The sequence below is a fragment of the Homo sapiens genome, chromosome 6 (genome assembly GCF_000001405.40).
Source record: "Homo sapiens chromosome 6, GRCh38.p14 Primary Assembly".
NCBI classification, from domain to species: Eukaryota; Metazoa; Chordata; class Mammalia; order Primates; family Hominidae; genus Homo; species Homo sapiens.
This window is the reverse complement of record NC_000006.12, coordinates 73,523,069-73,537,900: the sequence shown is the minus strand read 5'-3', so window position 1 is coordinate 73,537,900 and position 14,832 is coordinate 73,523,069. Positions and strand designations below refer to the sequence as shown.

Genomic DNA, 14,832 nt, shown 5'->3' with positions numbered 1-14,832 from the left:
TCATTACTCTTACTCAGAATTATAGAAACTCAAGCTCATGCACTTTGCCCAAGATCACAGAACTCGTGACGAACAGAGACCTGATTCAGTGCCAAGTCTCTCCAAACCCAATACTGTGTTCTTCCCATTCCCCCAGTGTCCTTCCTGTAGCCACAGCACTTTATTTCTCCTGTTTAGCACTGACTTTATCTTAAAATGTGTAATTTATATGGCAACAACACTTTCCATAATCCTAAAACAGTATATGTAATTTTGCTTAAATACTGTCCTATCATCATTACATTTCAAAAATGATTTGGAAAATTATCACAGCTTTTTTTTTTTTTTTTAGATGGAGTCTCACTCTGTTGCCCAGGCTCAAGTGCAGTGGTGCTATCTCGGCTCACTGCAACTCCGCCTCCCGGGTTAAAGCAATTCTTCTGCCTCAGCCTCCGAGTAGCTGGGACTACAGGCACCCACCACCAGGCCCAGCTAATTTTTGTATTTTCAGTAGAGACAGGGTTTTACCATATTGGCCAGGCTGGTCTCCAACTTCTGACCTTGTGATCTGCCTGCCTCAGCCTCCCAAAGTGCTGGGATTACAGGTGTGAGCCACTATCATAGCTTTTTTTGTAAACTGCATTATCTGACCCTATAACGGTTATCTGATCATTCTCAAAGACCACTGAACAATAATGCTTAATAGGTGCTTATCAGGTTTCTCATTTATTTTATTATTATTATTATTTTAAATAATAAAGAGTCTCGCTCTTGTCTCCCAGGCTGGAGTGTAATGGCGCAATCTCAGCTCACTGCAACCTCTGCCTCCCAGGTTCAAGCAATTCTCCTGCTCAGCCTCTCGAGTAGCTGGGATTACAGGCACCTGCCACCACGCCCTGCTTTTTTTTTTTTTTTTTGTATTTTTAGTAGAGATGGGGTTTCACCATATTGGCCAGGCTAGTCTTGAACGCCTGACCTTAGGTGATCCACCCACCTTGTCCTCCCAAAGTGCTGGGATTACAGGTGTGAGCCACTACACCAGGCCATAACTTTTCTCATTTATAAACTGGGGATATTAACAGTATTTACCCTTATAGTAACTGTAAGAATTAAATTAGTTAATATGTATAAAACATGTAGAATGGTTCTTGTCTGGGTCTGAGATCAGTAAACACTATAATTACTGAAAGAGGGGATGGATTAATGGTTGGATGATAAAGAAACAGAGGCATGTCTCTGTTCTCAATGAGTTCCTTCAGCCCTTACCATCCCCTACTTGTCTTTAAGCCAGTCCTAGTTATAAGTGTGACCAACTCTTCTGATTAGGCCACATGAAAACGTCATTCTTTATTTGCTAAGTAGACATCAAGGCAACGATGTTTAAGGATGTTCCCTACCTCTACCAGGGCCTGGGTGAACCCCTCACTCCCAGGCAAACTTTAAAAAATCAAGCAAGTAGCTAGGTATGGTGGTGTGGGCCTGTAGTCCCAGCTACTTAGGAGGCTAAGGCAGGCGAATCCCTCGAGCCCAGGAGTTGGAGGTTATAGTGAGCTATGATCATGCTACTGCACTGTAGACTAAGCGACAGAATGAGACCTTTTCTTTGAAAGAAAGAAAGAAAAAATAAAAAAGCTGGGTGGGGTGATTCCCACCTGTAATCCCAGCACTTTGTGAGGCCGAGGCGGGTGGATCATCTGAGGTCAGGAGTTCGAGACCAGCCTGACCAACACGATGAAACCCCATCTCTACTAAAAATACAAAAATTAGCCAGGCATGGTGGTGCGTGCCTGTAATCCCAGCTACTCAGGAGGTTGAGGCAGGAGAATTGCTTGAACCCGGAAGGCGGAGGTTGCAGTGAGCCGAGATTACACCACTGTACTCCAGCCTGGGCTACAGAGCGAGACTCCGTCTCCACCATCGTCAAAAAAAAAAAAAAAGCAAGAAAACATAGTGCAAGTCCAAACTAGAAAAGAAGAAAGACCAAGGCACATTAGGAAGACGGCTGGAAAACATATGAATTATAGAATGATTTTTAATACCCAAGGGCAGGTTTTCATAGTTAAAACTGAAGACAATGTCAGTGAAATATATGTACTTGAGGAGAAGCAGACTCCATTCCCAGATTCCCTCTCTATGTATTCATTCAACAGATGTCTACTGAACATCTACTATGCACCACACACTGGATACCACGGTTAAAACAAAAAAAGTCAGGAAAGATCTTTGCTTTGGAATTTCAATTCTAGGAGAGGAGACAAAGCTGAAAAAATAGTCAAATGAATAAGATAATTACATGTTGTGGTAAGTGTTTAGAAGGAAACAAAGAAGACGCTATAATGGAAAGTAACAGGGGACCTTCTTTTTTTTTTTTTTTTTTTTTGGAAATGGAGTCTTGCTCTGTCGCCAGGCTGGAGTGCAATGGTGGGATCTTGGCTCACTACAACCTCTGTCTCCCGGGTTCAAGAGATTCTCCTGCCTCAGCCTCCCAAGTAGTTGGGACTACAGGCACCAGCCACCACACCCGGCTAATTTTTGTATTTTTAGTAGAGATGGGGTTTCACCATGTTGTCCAGGCTGGTCTTGAACTCCTGACCTCAGGTGATCTGCCCACTCAGCCTCCCAAAGTGCTGGGATTACAAGCGTGAGTCGCTATGCCCAGCCGTTTTTTTTAATTTTTAAATAGAGATGGGGGTCTTGCTATACTGCCCAGGCTGGTCTCAAATGCCTGGCCTCAAGCAAGCCTCCCACCGTGGGCTTCTGAAGTGCTGGAATTTATAGGCATGAGCCACCATGCCCTGCCCAGCACAAGTACTTTGAAAGTCATTCATGTCTTTGGATTTGTCAATAGTTCATTCGTCGTTATTGCTAAGTAGTTTTCTAGTATATGGATATACCACCATTTGTTTTCCGTTCACCTGTTGATGGACATTTGGGTCGTTTCCATGTTTGTGGATAAAATAAAGCTGCTATGAACATTTTGGCCCAATTCTTTGTTTGGATATATGCTTTCATTTCTCTTGGGTAAACACTTGAAAGTGGAATGGATGGTCATATGGTAGATGTATGTTTAACTTTTTTTAGAAACTGCTAAACTGTTTTCCTAAAAGATTGTACCATTTTACATTCTCACCAGCTGTATAAGACTCCTAATTGCTTGCCAAAAGATGGTATTGTTAGTCTTTCTTTAATTTTAGCTACTTTAGTGGGTGTGTAGTGATATCTCATTGTGATTTTATTGTCTTCATTTGTGAAGGATAGTTTCACCAGATATAGAGTTCTAAGTTGACATATTTTGTTTTTTCCTTCAGTACTTTAAGATGTTGTTCATTTACCTCCTAGCTTCCATGTCCCTAATGAGAAGCAGTCAACCATTGCTCCCATGTATGTAATGTGTCCCTTGTATGTAATGTATTTTTCTCTGAGAACTTTCAGTTTTTTCTTTTTCTTTTCTTTTCTTTCCCTCCCTCCCCCCCTCCTCCCTTCCTTTCTTCCTTCTTTTTTTAATGTTACAAACCATCTTTATTGGTTGCAATGGAAAGTGGAAGAGGAAGGAATATAACAGTTCCCATTCCTGGAGTGGCATTTACAGACTTGGCCACTGCCCTCCAAAAGGAGTATTTTGTTGTGTCATTTGTTTTTGTTTTTGTTTTTGAAACAGGGTCTTGCTCCGTCACCCAGGCTGGAGTGCAGTGTCGCAATCATGGCTCACTACAGCCTCAACCTCCTGGGCTCAAGTGATCCTCCCACCTCAGCTCCCCAAGTAGCTGGGACCACAAGTGCATACCACCATGCCCAGTTAATTATTTGTAGAGATAAGGTCTCACTTTGTTGCTGAGGCTTGTCTTGAACTCCTGGGCTCAAGCAATCCCTTCTTGCCTCGGCCTCCGAAGGTGCTAGGATTACAGGTATGAGCCACCAAGCCCATCCAAGTTTTTTTCTTAAACTTTAGTTTTCACCAGTCTGACTGATGACTACAATGTGCCTAAACGAAGTCTTACTATCTTGCTTGGTTTTCATTCATTGGGTTGAATCTATCCTTCACTAAATTTGGGAAATGTTCAGCCATATTATTTCTTCATAACATATTAATGTAGATCAAAAATCTTAAAAGTAGTCCTACCTACAATTTTCATTTACCTTCTGCAACTCAAACTAACCTATTGATGTCTGACAGTGAGAACCATCCTTCCACAAAAATATATGTTAAAAAAATTTTTTTAAGTCAACTAGTCAATGATGGCATAGGGAAGCAGCTTACCCTTTATCCATTCAATTATTCATTTAGCAAAGTCATTGTGCAGGTACTATTTTAGGTCCTGAAGGTAGAATAATGAACAAAACATGATAGCTAATACTTAAACAATGTAAATAATTTAGAATACGTATATTAACTTATTTGTCATAATTTTATAAATGAGGAATATTATCCTCATTTTGCAAATAAAGAAGCTAAGACTTAAAGAGTTTAATATGCCTCAGGTCACATAGCTATTAAATATTAAGAGTTGGGCTTGGAACCCAGCTAGTCTGGCTCTAGAACATACACTTTTAATCCCTACTGCTTTACTCGCTAAAGGCAAAAAATGGAAGTCATAAGGTGGGCGGGCAGGCTTGATCTTTAGCCACATGAGCACTGGGCAAATCACTCAGTCATTCCCACAGTTTCTCACCTGTAAAATTAGTGGTTTTCAGTACATGGAGATTAAACTGTCTTCCAAAGTGAAGAGTTTATTGTTCTAGATCTTGAGCACAAAGGTTGGTATACGTTAACTGGAATTAATGAAATCAAGTGTGAAAACAATACAGTACTATCCATAAAGGAACAGTAGTATTTATTTTACAGTGGGTCCCCAGGTGGCAGATATACAAATTAATGGAGAGGCTGGGTGTGGTGGCTCACACCTGTAATTCCAGCACTTTGGGAGACCAAGGCAGGTGGATCACCTGAAGGTCAGGAGTTCGAGACCAACCTGGCCAACATGGTGAAACCTTGTCTCTACTAAAAATATAAAAAATTAGCTGGGTGTGGTGGTGGGCACCTGTAATCACAGCTACTCGGGAGGCTGAGGCAGGAGAATCATTTCAAGCCAGGCGGCAGAGGTTGCAGTGAGCCAAGATCACGCCATTGCACTCCAGCCTGGGCAACGAGAGCAAAAACTTTGACTCAAAACAACAACAACAACAACAACAAGTTAATGGAGAGAATTGTCAATAGTTTGTATTCACATGATGGCTTCTTCCAGATTCTTTCTTCATTGTGAGAAAAAAAAAAGAAGAAGAAGAAGATGATGATCTAAGAGCTTACCATAGCGGTTTTCTAGTTATTGAGACCTGGTTTTCCCTTTTCATTGATGAATATGTGACATATGAAATGGTTGGGCGTTTTTTAAAACTAAATCTGCAAAGTTCCTTTTGCAGCAAGAACAGCTTGCCAATAGATATAGCAGAAGCAGATGGTACTAGATAAACAAAGGCAATGACATAGCAACAATTCAAGAGATACTATATTTTAAAAGGAAAAAATTAAAAAGAATAAAGAAGATTTAATCTTAGAAAAGAAATGACAGGATTTTAGAATTAGAAGTGATTGTTTACGCTGCTTTTCATCTTTTAAAAATCCTAGGTTTTTGGACAGGCACAGTGGTTCATGCCTGTAATCCCAGCACTTTGGGAGGCTGAGGTGGGCAGATCACCTGAGGTCAAGAGTTTGAGACCAGCCTGGCCAACATGGCAAAACCCCATCTCTACCAAAAATACAAAAAAAAAATTAGCCAGGCATGGTTGTGGGCACCTGTAGTCCCAGCTACTTGAGAGGCTTGAGGCAGGAGAATCGCTTGAACCTAGGAGGCAGAGGTTGCAGTGAGCCGAGATTGTGCCGCTGTACTCCAGCCTGAGTGACAGAGTGAGACTCCATCTCAAAAAAAACAAAAATCCTACATGTTTTTTTTATCAAACAAACTTGTTTTCCTTAATACTTCTAACTCCATAATGTTCATAATAATTTATCTATTTTTACCTTTTTTTTTTTTTTTTTTGAGACATCATCTCACTCTGTCACCCAGGCTGGAGTGCAATGGTGCAGTCTTGGTTCACCTCAACTACCGCCTCCCTGGTTGAAGCAATTATCTTGCCTCAGCCTCCCGAGTAGCTGGGATTACAGGCGTGCACCACCGTGCCCAGCTAATTTTTGTATCTTTATTAGAGACGGGGTTTTGCCATGTTGGCCAGGCTGGTATTTTTACATTATATTTTATCTTTTTAGAGGTAGTATCTCACTGTGCTGCCTAGGCTGGAGTGCAATGGTACAATCATAGTTCACTGCAGCCTTGAACTTCTGGGCTCAAGCGAACCTACAGCCTCAGCCTCCTAAGTAGCTGAGATCACACTGTGCACCACTATGCTCAGCGAATTTTTAAAAGTCTTTTGTAGAGATGCACACTCACTATGTTGCCGAGGCTGGTCTTGAACTCCTGACTTCAAGCAATCCTCCTACCTCGTCCACAATTATTTAAAACATGACATCGTTGGGCGTGGTGGCTCACACCTGTAATCCCAGCACTTTGGGAGGCAGAGGCAGGCGGATCACCTGAGGTTGGGAGTTCAAGACCAGCCTGACCAACATGGAGAAACCCTGTCTCTACTGAAAATACAAAATTAGCCAGGCGTGGTGCTGCATGCCTGTAATCCCAGCTACTCGGGAGGCTGAGGCAGAAGAATCACTTGAACTCAGGAGGCAGAGGTTGCGGTGAGCCGAGATTGCGGTGAGCCGAGATCACGGCATTACACTCCAGCCCGGGCAACAAGAGCGAAACTCTGTCTCAAAAAAAAAAAAACAACAAACAAACAAACAAACAACAAAAAAAACCATGACATCTGGCTAGGCTCTATGGCTCACACCTGTAATCCTAGCACTTTGGGAGGCGGAGGCCAGAGGATAGCTTGAGCCTAGGGGTTTGAGATCAGCCTGGGCAACAGAGGGAGAGCCCATCTCCACAAAAAATTTAAAAATTAGCCAGGTGTGTTGGTACACGCCTATAGACCCGGCTACTCTGGGGGGCTGAGGTGGGAGGATTGCTTGAAGCTTGGGAGGTCAAGGCTGCAATAAGCTATGATTGTGCCATTGCATTCCAGCCTTGGTGACAGAATGAAACTGTCTCAAAAAAACAAACCAGGGCCAGGCATGGTGGCACGCACCTGTAGTCCCAGCTACTAGGGAGGCTGAGGCAGGAGAATTGCTTGAACCTAGGAGAGGGAGATTGCAGTGAGCCAAGATCGCCCACTGCACTCCAGCCTGGGCGACAGAGCAAGACTCTGTCTCAAAAACAAAAACAAAAACCATGGTATCTGCTATGGTCTGAATGTTGATGTCCCTCCAAAATTCATAAGTTGAAATGTAATAGGTCTGATAGTACTAAGAGGTAGGGCTTTTGGGAAGTGATTAAGTCAGCAGAGCTCTATCCTTTAATAAATGCCCGTATTAAAGAAGCCTGAGCCTGAGGGAACTCCCTTGACTTTTCTGCCATGTGGGAATGCAGCTGAAAGGCACAATCTTTGAAGCAGAGAGCAAGCCCTCACCAGACACAGCATCTGCCAGTGCCTTGATCTTAAACTTCCCAGGCTCCGGAACTGTAACAAATTTCTGTTGTTTATAAGTTACCTAGTCTAAGGTATTTTGTAATAACAGCCCAAGTGGACTAAAACAGCATCTTTTTTTTCTTTTTTTTAGAAATAGAATAGGCTGGTGTGGTGGCTCACGTCTATAATCCCAGCACTTTGGGAGGCTGAGGCAGACGGATCACGAGGTCAGGAGATCAAGACCATCCTGGCCAACATGGTGAAACCCCGTCTCTACTAAAAATACAAAAAAATTAGCTGGGCTTGGCAGTGCACGCCTCTAGTCGCAGCTACTTGGGAGGCTGAGGCAGGAGAAATGCTTGAACCCTGGGAGGTAGAGGCTGCAGGGAGCCGAGGTCACGCCACTGCACTCCATCCAGCCTGGGCGACAGAGCGAGATTCCGTCTCCGAAAAAAGAAAGACAGGGTTTCGCCATGTCACCCAGGCTGGTCTTGAACTCCTGGACTCAACTGATCTGACTGCCTCAGCCTCCCAAAATTCTGGGATTAAAGGCATGAGCCACCATGCCCAGCGAACAGCATCTTTAAGATTCTGAAAATGCAAGTTATAGGAAAATTAATAAGGAAACCTGAAATGCAGGAATATTAAACACAGAGCTCAAGGCAAGGTCATTATGGCATTTTCTTAGTAAAGAAACTTCATTCTATAATAAGATGCTAGTTAATGAGGAATCCCAAATAACAAAAAATTAAATAACATATCAAAGAACAATTAAAATTTACTGAATGCTTACTACATGTCCAGCACTGGGTTAAGTAGTATTTTATATCGATTGTCTCATTTAATCCTTACAACGAGCCTATGGGGTAGATATTATTTATTATTATCATCACTTTATAGATATGAAAAATGAGGCTCAGTGAAGTTAAATCACTTGCTAAACATTCTACCTCTGGTTGTGGTAGAGCCAACAGAGATATGAGTGAAAATGTTCTAACTTCAGAGCTTCTTTGCTCTTAAAGTAATATGTAATAAACACAATGGATTGAAACAAACAAAAAAGAACAAACGAAAAAGTTTCTGCCAATTGCTATTCTAACTTGGTGCAAATAAATCTTGCTCGACATTTGAAATACTTTTCTTATCTAATTTTTCACAGCAGTCTTATGGAATAGTTATTATTATCTCCTTTTTACAGACACGGGATCTGAAGCTTAAACAGACCAAACACCTTGCCCAGAGCCACATGTTCAGCAAGTGGTGGACGCGAGACTTGGATCCAGGTTGGTCTGTCTCCAGAGATTCAACGTTCTTCGCAGGCTCCTTGAGGGCCTTGGTGAATGCCCCCAGACAGATCTATCTTGCTATCTGTTACTGTCTTGTAGGAGTAAACTCTTCCTCCCACTTTCTTTCCTAGAGCAGTCAACTCCATAGCCTCCCACCTTCATAGCCTCCTTTCACTGGCTTATGCCCACAGTTCATACCAAACCCAGGTGAGACTTTCTGTCCTTTGAGAAGGTTTCCCTGCTGCTGTCCTCCAAACCCAGGTGAGACTCTCTGCCCTCTGGGAAGCTTTGCGTGCTGCTGTCCTCATCCCCTCCCTGAGTCTGAATCTGTCCTGAATGCTCAAAAGCACCTTAGGCATACTTGGTTCCAGGACTCATGCTCTCCTGGAGTTACCTGTTTACTATTTGTCTTCCTTCCCCTACCTCTCCAGGGCTCTGCCACATATGCTATGCAGCAGAGATTGCTTTTTGTCTCCTAGTGCCTAGCTCAGTGCCTGGCACAGAACAGATGCTCAATAAATGTCTGATGGATAGATGAATAAAGACTGACTTCAGAAATCCTGCACAATTACCATCATCTTTTTTTTCTTTTCAGACATGAGGGTCTCACTCTGTTGCCCAGATGGCAATAATCATATCTCACTGCAGCCTCAAACTCCTGGCCTTAAGTCATCCTCCCACCTCAGCCTCCTGAGTAGCTGGAATTAGTGGCACAAGCTGCCATGCCCAGCACCAACATATATTGAATGTCATAATTCAAAAGTCCTTGCCACTTACAGAACACACACATTGTCACATGTATGTATAACACTTGTATAGATTGGTGAATCTATAATTCTAATACTTAAATGAAATTGACCAAATAGTACTCATTATTAGGATAAATGTTGAGAATTTGTAAAGTACTCTACATTTTAAACAGATTTTTGCTTTTTTTGTGTGTGTCTTTTTTTTTTTCTTCCTTTTTGTGGAGAACGGGGTCTCGCTATATTGCCCAGGCAGGTCTAGAACTCCCGGGCTCAAGCTATCCTCCCGCCTCTGCCTCCCTGAGAGCTGGGATTACAGGCATGAGCCACCGTGCCCGGACAGATTTTTGCTTTTTAAAAGAGCTGGCTGGGCGCGGTGGCTCACGCCTGCAATCCCAGCACTTTGGGAGGCCAAAGCAGGCAGATTTCCTGAGGTCAGGAGTTCGAGAACAGCCTGGCCAACATGGTGAAACTCCATCTCTACTAAAAATACAAAAATTAGCCAGGGGTGGTGGCATGTGCCCGTAATCCCAGCTACTCCAGAGGCTGAGGCAGGAGAATTGTTTGAATCTGGGAGGTGGAGGTTGCAGTGAGCCGAGATCATGCCACTGCACTCCAGCCTGGGCAACAGAGCAAGACTCTGTCTCAAAAAAATAAATAAATAAAATAAAAGCGCTAATGATTATTTTCTAAGTATAATGAGCGCTGACATTTGTAAAAATGGTTTGCATCATCTGGTCCATTATCTTATTTAATCCTTATGATCAATTCTATGAAATAGATGTTAGATTATTTTACTATGAAATAATGAGCTCAGGCCAGGCGTGGTGGCTCATGCCTGTAATCCCAGCAATTTGGGAGGCCGAGGAGGGCAGATCATGAGGTCAGGAGTTCAAGACCAGCCTGGCCAACATAGTGAAACCTCGTCTCTACTAAAAATACAAAAAAATTAGCCAGGCATGGTGGTGGGCGCCTGTAATCCCAGCTGCTTGGGAGGTTGAGACAGAAGAATCACTTGAACCCAGGAGGCGGAGGTTGCAGTGACCGGAGATTGCACCACTGCATTTCAGCCTGGGTGACAGTGCGAGACTCCATCTCAAAAAATAAAAATAAAAAAAAGAAATAATGAGCTCAAGTGTGATTTATTCAAGATCACTCTGATAAAGAAATTATGTGGGACTACGAATATATTCCAGCTTGTCTCTTAGTCAAGTGCTCTGTTAACTATATCACCTATGAAGACAAAGAAATACTGAAAATTCATATGATTTATAAAATATGGATTCACAAATGAATACTGAGTGAGGGGGCCCTGCTACTGGGCTTACAACTGCTGGGCTCTGCTCAGGAACCCTAATCTGGTCCAGAGTGAGCAGTATGGTCTCAGCCCAGCGTTTCACGAGTCTTCAAGCCTTCAGGCTTTCTTTTAATCAAGATGAGTGATAAACCCAAACTTGTCAGAAGTGAAGTTTGACAGGTCAAAATTGAAGAAAACTAACACTGGAGAAAAAAATAGGCTTTCTTCCAAGGAAACTATCCAGCAGGAGAAATACGGTGTTCAAACATCATATAATGGGGGCTGGGCATGATGGCTCACGTCTGTAATCTTTGGTAGGCTGAGGTGGGTGGATCACCTGAGGTCAGGAGTTCGAGACCACCCTGGCCAACATGGCTAAGCCCTGTCTCTATTAAAAATACAAAAATTAGCCAGGTGTGGTGGCACATGTCTGTAGTCACAGCTACTCGGGAGACTGAGGCAGGAGAATCGCTTGAACCCGGGAGGCGGAGGTTGCAGTGAGCTGAGATCATGACACTGCACTCCAGCCTGGGTGACAGAGTGAGACTCCATCTCAAACAAACAAAGAAAAAAATGAATTAGGCATGGTGGTGTATGCCTGCAATCCCAGCTACATGGAAGTCTCAGGCGGGTGAATCACTTGAACCCGGGAGGCGGAGGTTGTAGTGAGCCAAGATCATGCCACTGTATTCTAGCCTGGGTGACAGAATAAGACTCCGTCTCAAAACAAAACAAAACAAAGCAAAACACCAAAAATCTTCCCATTGGCACATAAATTCCACATGGCAGATGCTGCCAATAATCTAACCATTGATGACCTGTGTGTGTATAGTCTTTGCACCTCCTACAGGAAAAGCCAATTTTAACCTTCTATGAGTGTCTCCATTGCTTCATAATCTTTATGAAGTTGCATGCCTTTGCAGCTTCTCAGAGTGTATTTTCATTTCTAATGTAGCAATAAAATAATATACTTACTAAAAAAAATAGCAAGGGAAGAAAATCATTTCCTTCATACCAAGTAAGAGAGCACTTATCATGGTAGGCACTGGCTTTGCAATTATGAGACCAGTAGTAGAAATAGCTTTAGTTTCCTCAATTTTCCTGGAGTATTCTTCAGACTTTCTTTACACTGCTAAAATGAGAGTAACATTTCATTGTATAACCTCTGTACAATTTCTTACCATGTACATGTATTACCTACGTAAAAATGCTTACAATTACAAAGATACCAATGAGTTTATTTTCTCTACTGACTCAAGTTGGTGTCACAGGCATACCAATTAAGGACAGGCATTCTCCAAAAAGCATGTAGAAACACTGTCTTTTGTACTAATAAAGAGCCCCCATGTCTTTTCATGTCATTGCATATTAGAATTGTGACATAGGTGTTAAGTAGGAACAAAGAGGCAACCCATTTCACAGATGTACTCAGAACTGCTGGGCTGTCATAGGTCTAAGCAGAAGAGCGAGGACTAAATCCCTAATTTTCTGACACCGATGCCACTGATATTTTCATTATATCAGGCTGCCTCGACCTGCTGGTAAGGGTTAGGACTAGCTCTCTGACAGATTACCCTGGTTCCAATCCTGCTCTGCTGGGCCCTAAGGTACCATGAAAAAAGATCACCAAGCTGTATTAGGTGAAAAAAGCAAGGTGGCATATTGTATTTTACCATTTTGTGCAAAAAAAGGTAAAACTTTAAAAAAGAATATATGTCTATATGTGCTTATTACGCATAAACTGCCTGTTGCCCATTGCTGCTCCATCTATACAATGTGGGTGGTAGGATTACAATAAATATTGCAAATATTAGAACAGTGCCTGTCACACTAAAGTGTCATTTTATTTGGATTCTCGGCTGGGCGTGGTGGCTCATGCCTGTAATCCTAGCACTTTGGGAGGCCGAGTTGGGCAGATCACGAGGTCAGGAGATCAAGACCGTCCTGGCTAACATGGTGAAACCCCCATCTCTACTAAAAAAAATACAAAAAATTAGCTGGGTGTGGTGGCCGGCGCCTGTAGTCCCAGCTACTCGGGAGGCTGAGGCAGAATGGCATGAACCCGGGAGGCGGAGCTTGCAGTGAGCCGAGATCGTGCCACTGCACTCCAGCCTGGGTGACAGAGTGAGACTCCATCTCAAAAAAAAAAAAAAAAAAAAAAATTGGATTCTCAGTCCAAATAGTTCCTTGGCTTAATCATATTCTAAAATACCCCTTTAAAAAAAAAAATATATATATATATATATATAGTTTTTTCTGAGATGCAGTCTCACTTTGTTACCCAGGCTGGAGTGCAGTGGCACGATTTCTGCTCACTGCAACCTCCTCCTCCCGGGTTCAAGCAATTCTCCTGCCTCAGCCTCCCAAGTAGCTGTGATTATAGGTGCACACCACCAAGCCTGGCTAATTTTTATATCTTTAGTAGAGACGGGAGTCTCACCATGTTGGCCAGGCTGGTCTCGAACTCTTACCTCAGGTGATCCGCCTGACTCGGCCTCCCAAAGTGCTGGGATTACAGGCGTGAGCCACCGCACCGGGCCATCATCTTTTCTTCAGAGGTAGCTACAGCAGATGAAAAGATTTAAAAATCATTTTCACGTGGCAAGCCATGGTAAAATGTAACTATTTAAGGCTGCTTTAAATTAGACTAATAGCAGAGTGGTCAGACTATACTGAAAGCTTGGTGAATCACAATTAAGTACCTCAAAGAACTATTCTTGTTTGCCTTATTCCTATGTAAATAACTGAAATCTTTGTTTTTCTTCCTAAAAGGGGTCATGTTGATTTTTACTTACAATGTATTTTAAGTTTGTCACTCTAAATGGTTATGAGCAAGTTTAAGAAAAATCTTCAGCAAATACTACCTTAGATTATGACCCCAAAACACATTTACGAGCCTCAACATCGTTACTGTTACCGCTTTAACATTTAAGGCAGTAAAAAGCATACTGGATCTCTGTAAAGGCGTAGGGGTGCGGGGAATCCGTTATGATTATGTTGAAAACATAGGGTCTGGGGAAAAAGGGATTTAAAATAAGAAGAAAAAGAAGACTTGGGACTTAAAAAGTCTTTTAGAGGCCAGCTCACGGTGACAAAAACCGACCCTCACCCCGAGCCACGTGAGGTTTTCTGCTTCCTCCCAGGCCCTTCCTTCCGCAGTCAGAAGGCGGAAGAAAAGTTACCTCAAGGTGGGGCGAGTGGCAGGGCGGACCCTGGCGACCTGACGCTGCGGAGGCTCGAGCGGCGTATCCATACCACCCAGCTGTTCGCCGCGGGAACCCGCCGGCCCGCAGGTGACCCAGCGCTGGAAAAACGCCAGCGACGTGGCCTGGCGAGCTGGCGCGGGGCAAGGACCACCCGCGCCCGCCTTGCCGCCCCAGCCTCCCTCCCTAGGAAGCAGGGTGCGCCCCGGTGCGCGCGGGGCTTCCCCGGACCGGCGTTCCAGTCCCTCTCCGGCTTCCGGCCCACCCCGGCCCCACTGAGAGCAGAAATGTGATCTCTGCCCTGAGAAAATGCTCGTGGCCAGTGACTACCCCTAACGCACAATAATATGGCTCCGATGGGCTCAAAGGTATTGGTTTTTTGTTTTGTTTTGAGACAAGGTCTCACTCGGTCGCCCAGGCTGGAGTGCAATTGCGTGATCTTGACTCACTGCAACCTCCGCTTCCCGGGCTCAAGCGATTCTCCTGCCTCAGCCTCCCAAGTAGCTGGGATTACAGGCATGCGCCACCACGCCCGGCTAATTTTGTATTTTCAGTAGACAGGGTTTCACCATGTTGGCCAGGCTGGTCTCGAACTCCTGGCCTCAAATTATACGTCCGCCTCGGCCTCCCAAGGTGCTGGTATTATAGGCGTGAGCCACCGCGCCCGGTCCAGTGTTGGTTCTTAAACGCGAGAATTGAGATCTCCCTTCACCTAATGAAAGTCTCGGCCACTATCGCAACATTCA

At 43.6% G+C, this 14,832-nt stretch overlaps 1 long non-coding RNA gene across 1 annotated transcript in view, besides 2 other annotated features; it reads right to left on the bottom strand.

Moving 5' to 3' along the window:
- Window positions 1–14,290, bottom strand: part of EEF1A1-AS1 (EEF1A1 antisense RNA 1) — a 52,643-nt gene extending 38,353 nt beyond the window's left edge. Inside the window, exons 1-3 of the long non-coding RNA NR_187283.1 lie at window positions 14,066–14,290; window positions 13,355–13,445; window positions 11,859–12,015 (exon numbers count right to left, since the gene is read on the bottom strand). This is a non-coding gene — a long non-coding RNA (EEF1A1 antisense RNA 1). The remainder of the gene's footprint in view (window positions 1–11,858; window positions 12,016–13,354; window positions 13,446–14,065) is intronic.
- Window positions 14,045–14,224: a silencer, noted in NCBI's record as "silent region_17337". NCBI's record gives its function as "represses an Ori minimal core promoter by ATAC-STARR-seq in GM12878 lymphoblastoid cells {active_cell/tissue: GM12878}" and the evidence as "EXISTENCE:reporter gene assay evidence [ECO:0000049][PMID:35858748]".
- Window positions 14,265–14,404: a silencer, noted in NCBI's record as "silent region_17336". NCBI's record gives its function as "represses an Ori minimal core promoter by ATAC-STARR-seq in GM12878 lymphoblastoid cells {active_cell/tissue: GM12878}" and the evidence as "EXISTENCE:reporter gene assay evidence [ECO:0000049][PMID:35858748]".